The 6646-nt window shown below is 41.0% G+C and overlaps 1 protein-coding gene across 15 annotated transcripts in view; it reads left to right on the plus strand.

The window, feature by feature from the left end:
* TTF2 (transcription termination factor 2) overlaps nt 1-6646 on the plus strand; it is a 47128-nt gene extending 40482 nt beyond the window's left edge. For 7 of the 15 annotated variants that reach the window (XM_017002551.3, XM_047432143.1, XM_047432147.1 and 4 more), the window contains 2 exons: nt 573-755; nt 1460-2056. In XM_017002551.3, the coding sequence (XP_016858040.1) occupies nt 573-717 (145 nt within the window). In that variant the 3' untranslated portion in view covers nt 718-755; nt 1460-2056. Of the gene's footprint in view, nt 1-572 lie in introns of all 15 variants that reach the window. The other 8 variants (XM_017002550.3, XM_047432141.1, XM_047432144.1 and 5 more) reach the window with 2 other exon arrangements.

Here is a 6646-nt window from a genome sequence, read left to right on the forward strand (position 1 = left end):
ACCAGGTCATATTATTGTTTATTTTCATGTTTGTCTCGCTTTTGTTCTGCTTTGGAGCAAGACTATATTCATCTCTCCATCCCCACACCTAGCATAGTGTAGTGAGTGCTTAATCAATACTTTTGAATGAGTGAATGAATGACAACAGTGCCATTTACTTGGTTTGAAAACCCTGTTTTTATTGTGAATTCACTAAGAAATACTCTACTTAAACTAGCAGAAATTTGATAACCTTTGAGGCCTTATGGACTTACCAAGGTAGAACTTTTTGGGTAAAAGCTGGATCTCTATACTTTTTTGGATTGGGATATCTTTTGCTTATTTTGAGTTTGTTTCAATTACCTTAGCTTCAGAAAGTATTAAAATGCCAATGTGGGTCACATCCTTTTAAAGGGATATATATCTAGTCAAGGTTGTTTGGATTCCTCAGACAGGGTTCTTAACTGGACCTAAGAAGACTTAAAGGAAGAAATCTCATTAAAAATGAAAGCATAATAAAAGTTTGAATATATTATTAGATGTGCTGCTTAGGGTTTTTGATAGTTTGCTTATTTTTTGTTTTTGTTTTTTAGATTTGTTTGTGAGGGAACAGTAGAAGAAAAGATCTTACAGCTCCAAGAAAAAAAGAAAGATTTGGCCAAACAAGTTCTATCAGGGTCTGGAGAATCTGTCACCAAGCTCACCTTGGCTGACCTCAGAGTCCTTTTTGGCATCTAACCTCCTGTGGATAAGGGCTCAGAATAGCACCATTGCTGGTTTGTATTAGGATCTGGGAATAACAACCTAACCATGAGCCTTGAACTCTGTTCTTTGCATTTCAATTTCACCGTCAAGCCTTTCACCTTCCTCAAAATGAGGCATAATCTTATCCCCAGAATTGAGGAGGGGTTGTGTTAACCAATTAGTTAACCAATTATGTTAATAATTTATTTAATGAGTGGTATGGAAACCAATTGATTTTTTTAGATAAAAGAATATGTTTTAGAGTTGGATGATTTTGGAAAACAACTCTGGCAGAATTGTATATAAGCTTCAGTAAAGTTCAAAAAGCGGGCCAGGTGTGGTGGCTCATGCCTGTAATCCCGACACTTTGGGAGGCCAAGGCAGGAGGATGGCTTGAAGCCAGTAGTTCAAGACCAGCCTGGGCAACATAGTAAGACCCCATCTCTATGAAGAATAAAAAAATGAGCTAGGCGTGGTAGTGCACACCTGTAGTCCTAGCTACTTGGGAGGCTGAGGCAGGAGGATCCCTTGAGTCCAGGAGGTTGAGGCTGCAGTGAGCTGTGATTGTGCCACTGTTTTCCAGCCTGGGCAATACAGTGAGACCCTGTCTCAAAAAAAGGAAAAAAAAGCTCAAAAAGTTCTGTGTTGCCTTTCTCTTCTTAGCTGATGATGGGAGAACCAGTTACTACCTTCTCTAACACAGGCTCCATCCTATCTCTTCATCTCTTCTTGCCAGTGATGTTGCACCTGTAACCATCTTTTTATGGGTGGAGCAGAGAGTCAATCCCTGCAGCCACCCTGCAGCCAGCCATCTCTGCAGTTCTCTCAGTGCAGGCAGTTCTTCCTCTCAGGCTGAAGATCAAGGAGATGCTTTGTACATGAACAGATGCTGAGTATCTGTTATCATTGTATTGTTTAGTGTCAGTGTATCATTTAGTATTTGTATCACTGTACCATTTAGTGTTGTATATCACTCAGTCATTTAATATTGGTTATCACCATACAGTTTAATATTTGTATCATTTGGTTCATTGTATCGTTTAGTATTTCTATTATAACATTTCTATTTGTAGTATTTGTATAATATTTGTGTCATTTTTAATAGTATTTGTATTTTTACAAATTTGCAGTATTTGTAGCATTTAGTATCATTGTTTCATTTAGTATTTGGTACAATCTAATAAATACTAATCCAGTCCAATACTAATCCAATCCAATACTAATAATACTATTGGTACAATCCAATACTAATAATACTATTGGTACAATCCAATACTAATAATACTAACAGTAGTATTGATACAATCTAATAAATAATGTGTTTGACAGTGTAGCAGAAATAATGCTATGTGTTCACCAAACCCACTTCCTTTTCCTCCCGGGCACCCAGAGAGACTGTATTTCCCAGTTTTTGCTGCAGTTTGACGGGGTCCATATCAATGGACTGTGGAGAGAAGCGATTGATGTAAGTCACTTCTAGGTGGCCCTCTACCACTTTCCAAAAGATCATTCATGCTGTTTCTTCCCTCCTCAGCCTATGGGATGCAAAGGAACTGATGGAAGATTACAAGGCCCTAGGGAAGGTGAAGCCACTAGCTCAGCAGTTCTTAGCCTAGTTTTTGGCCATCAGCCCTTCTATTAGACTAGTGAAGCCTCAGTCCCAGGATGGCTCCCCATGTACACTTCCCTCCTCGCCCCAGCTCACCTACACTGGACTATGACATGATCAAGGAATCTTTTTTTTTAAGCTACTGAGATTTCTGTGTTGTTTACATAGCAGTTTGTACCCTAAACAAACACTTGAGATTTTATACTTCAGGAAACTATTCAGATTTCCTTCTCATTAGCAATTGTTCCAAAAACACTTACTCTGCTAATTTCTGCTAGAAAGAATCACAGTTCTTCTAACACAGAAACATTTCTGTCCCTTGAGTTGGGAAACAAGACCCTATGTTAACCCAGTCAGAGTGTGGACTGAGGCATTCGGAGCCTATTTAAGCAGAAGTTTTCTATAAGGACAAGATTTAAAGGCTTACAAAGGTAAAGACAATGGCCTGGTGGGAAGAATTCTAGTCTAGAACGTTTGAGATTTGACTCTAGTTCTAGGTTCATCTTAGCTGGGTGTGTAACGTTGAAAAAATTGGCCGGGTGCAGTGGCTCAGGCCTGTCATCCCAGCACTTTGGGAGGCCGAGGCAGACGGATCACGAGGTCAAGAGATCAAGACCATCTTGGCCAACATGGTGAAACCCCGTCTCTACTAAAAATACAAAAATTAGCTGAGCGTGGTGGCGTGCGCCTGTAGTCCCAGCTACTGGGGAGGATAAGGCAGGAGAATCGCTTGAACCTGGGAGGTGGAGGTTGCAGTGAGCTGAGATCGCGCCATTGCACTCCAGCCTGGTGACAGAGCGAGACTCCGTCTCAAAAAAAAAAAAAAAAAAAAAGAGAGAGAAAAAAATCCTTACTTTCTCTACACTCTGATTTCCTCATTTGTAAGGTGGGCAGTTTTCAGAACTTAGCAGCAATAAGGTTTCTGATAAAATCAAGAAGCAAAGGAAGTAACATTGCCTTTTTGAAGTTTTGCTATAAGATTGACATACCAAGGTAAAGATTGAGTCACCTGAGAAGCAGTGGCTCCCAGGCCAGCAAGAATGTACAAACCTGGCTCTGCCATTTGCTGATTGATATTAGGCAAGTTGCAGATTCCTTGGACATCTCAATCCTTTCATCTGTAAAATGTGTGGATTAGCATGTATCTCATGCTCCACTGGGAATTTCATAGCAAATATATATACTACAACATGGTTGACCAGATAGATCAGTAATGTCAACTAGAAGGTATTAGATGAACATTGTCAGTCTCCAATCAAGCATTGTTTAGGGGAGAGGAATTCTTTCAGGTTCAAGCATTCTGGCTTTTAGTTTGGAGAGGGATGCAGGGATTGTAACTTAAAATCTTCAGATATTGAGGCCATTGACAAGTAATCTACTGTAAGGTAGATGCCTCCTGGTATTTTAAAACAGCTTTTCTAATTTCTCATGTTATTGTACATAAGCAAAGCAACCTAGTTATGTCTTGGGTAGGTGTTCTTATAGCCGTGAGATGCTACTGACTTGAGGTGGATGCAGAAAAAAATGGAACCACTGCCTTAATGGGATGGAATATACTAAACATGCATTCTTAAATCCTAGTGCTGGGATGGATTACATGAATTACATTGTGGAGCTGCATATGTGTCTCCCCTCTTCCCTCCCTGGGGGTTAGGCTGGGTTTGTTTGGTTTTTTTTGTTTTGTCCTCATGAGGCTTAGCATCTAAGGGAGACAGGCATGAATTAACAGAAGTGGCATTCTGGTATCTGTCTCAGCCTCATATTCATTTTAGTGTAAATCAGTTTCGTCAAGTCTAGGTATGACAAGGTGGGTCTTTGCACCTTCTAGCGATGGGCAGCATCCCACAACACAGTGGTCTAATTGAGGTGCTGCACTATGAGTCCTGCCTGTGTTAACCAGCCTTCCTTCATGTCACAATACTGCTGCTGGATTTGCTTTTTACATCTGCCTATTGCACCTGACTTGGGCATGGATGATATGAGGTAATAAATGCTTTGAAAACCATGAAGGGCCACACAAGTGCTAGTGTTATTGCTGTGGGACAAGGTCTGGGAATATGAGAACCAGCAGCAGCATGGGTGCAGCTGAGAACCAGATGGTGAACATCTGTCTCCAAAGTGCAACATTCCTGAGCACCGGATTTATAAGGCATTTCTTACTCGACAGAATTGACTTCATGGAAGGTATGTAGTTTGACTTTGCCTTAGCCATGTTGATCAAATAGGAGTATTGTGCATGCCGCAGCTAGACAGAGTCCTGGGCCCTTTAAAAACCTTGTCAGTGACTCCCATTGCAGGCCCAGCGCAGTGGTTCACACCTGTAATCCCAGCATTTGGGAGGCTGAGGCAGGCAGATCACTTGAGGCCAAGAGTTCGAGACCAGACTGGCCAACATGGCAAAACCTCCTCTCTACTAAAAATACAAAAGTTAGCCAGGCGTGATGTTGGGTGCCTGTAATTGCAGCTACTCGGGAGGCTGAGGCAGGAGAATCACTTGAATCCAGGAGGCGGAGGTTACAGTGAGCTGAGATCATACCACTGCACTCCAGCCTGGGCCACAGAGAAAGAACGGTGATTCTTTCTAGCAGAAATTAGCAGAGTAAGTGTTTTTGGAACAATTGCTAATGAAAAGAAGGAAAAACAGAAAAAAAAAATTTTCTGTTTATGGGAGGTGACTTATTTCTCTATCAATCCTGTGAGTGATTTAGCATGGCAATTCATGAACACTGAGTTGTTTCCTTGCTCTGATTGTCTGTTGCTCAATGAAATGGCTTTTAGCAGGGCTCAAAGGTGAAGCCAGATTCTCCTGCACTAATAGGATAAGCATGGAGACACCAGTGTTCAGTGTGGCCTCTGGTTGTCTGAAATTTTGCTGTCAACTCTAATACCTTGAAAGAATTAGGTTTCCAAAGTGGGATATTGTGCTGCTGTTTGTGATATAGCATCTAGACTTAGGAAAGGGCAGGAACAATTTAAAAGCACATCTGTAGGCACAAAGAGAATTATAATAGAAATTCAGAATTCCTAGGCATATGACCTAGACTAAAATGTCTTCATAACTACAAATGAAATCAGGGTCATTTATAGTACAAACTACCACAGAAGTCAGTAGTTAGGGGATGGAGATAGATATGAAAAAAAAAAAAAGCAAACCCAGCCTAACTCCCAGGGAGGGAAGAGGGGCGACAGATATGCAGCTACACAATGTTTTTACTATCTTGAGTTCTTTTTACCCAGATTCCATAGCTAAATCCAGATGTATTAATAGGTAGAGACTACTTCAGAAAGGATGAGACTATTTTCTTGCTTAATTATCCACACAGTAATTCAGAAATGTATATTGAACACTTTTTATATGCCAGGCACTGCTGGGCACTGGAAATATAAAAGTAAGCAAAAATGAAAAACTATCCTGTCCTCCTGAGGCTTAGCATCTAAGGGAGACAGGCATTAGTCAACCCCGTGTGGCTGTGAATCAGCCATGATGCTGAGTGCTACAAGAGAGGACTGTGCGGCTGGGAGGGCTTATAACAGGATTTGACCTAGTTAGGGAAGATCTGAGGAAGTGATGAAAGAATGGAAATCAATATGTAAGAGCTCACAAGTCAGAGTGAGATGTTTCTTCCTATACTGCCTGCTTCTAATGAGCATCCACTTCATTGAACCACCTCTTCATTGAGCCAAACCTACCATACAGGGATACATTCTCTGGAGGAAAGTTGAGCAACTATTGCATTTGGGACATTAGAGTATGGGTGGGCTGACAGGTATGTGTATGTTTATTATCCAAGACAGCCAAGGTGTTTATCCTGTTACAACATCCCAGAGGACAGAGGCTCTTATTTGTGACTCTTTTTTCTTACCTGTAACACCAGAGGCATAACGTACATCATAATGCTGCATCTTGTTGACGCTTCAATGCTCACAATTCAAAGGTGATTTCTGAAGCACTTTGTTACACTGGGGACAGCTCCTAAATCCTCCCACTCTTTTTTTGCCTCACCTTGGAGTCTTGGGCTCTGTTGATCACTGACTCTGCCAGGTCTTTCAGCAGGCAAGACAGCTCAGTTAAATTGAGTTTGGACTCCACTGTAGTGCATGCATGAGACAGCACCCCCAATCCCCAACACCCACACACAAACTTTAAATATTTGTAACAGAATTGTTACCATTAATATTGCTTAAAGGCTAACACATTAGCCAGAACCTAGATGTCTTCTGGAAATTTTTTATTGCAATGTTACTTCATCTACATAAAGTTGTCCAATCACTGAAACCTCCAACTGAAATAAATGGTAAGCTTTTTGTTCTCAA

Source organism: Homo sapiens, chromosome 1 (genome assembly GCF_000001405.40).
Source record: "Homo sapiens chromosome 1, GRCh38.p14 Primary Assembly".
In the NCBI taxonomy this organism is placed as follows: domain Eukaryota; kingdom Metazoa; phylum Chordata; class Mammalia; order Primates; family Hominidae; genus Homo; species Homo sapiens.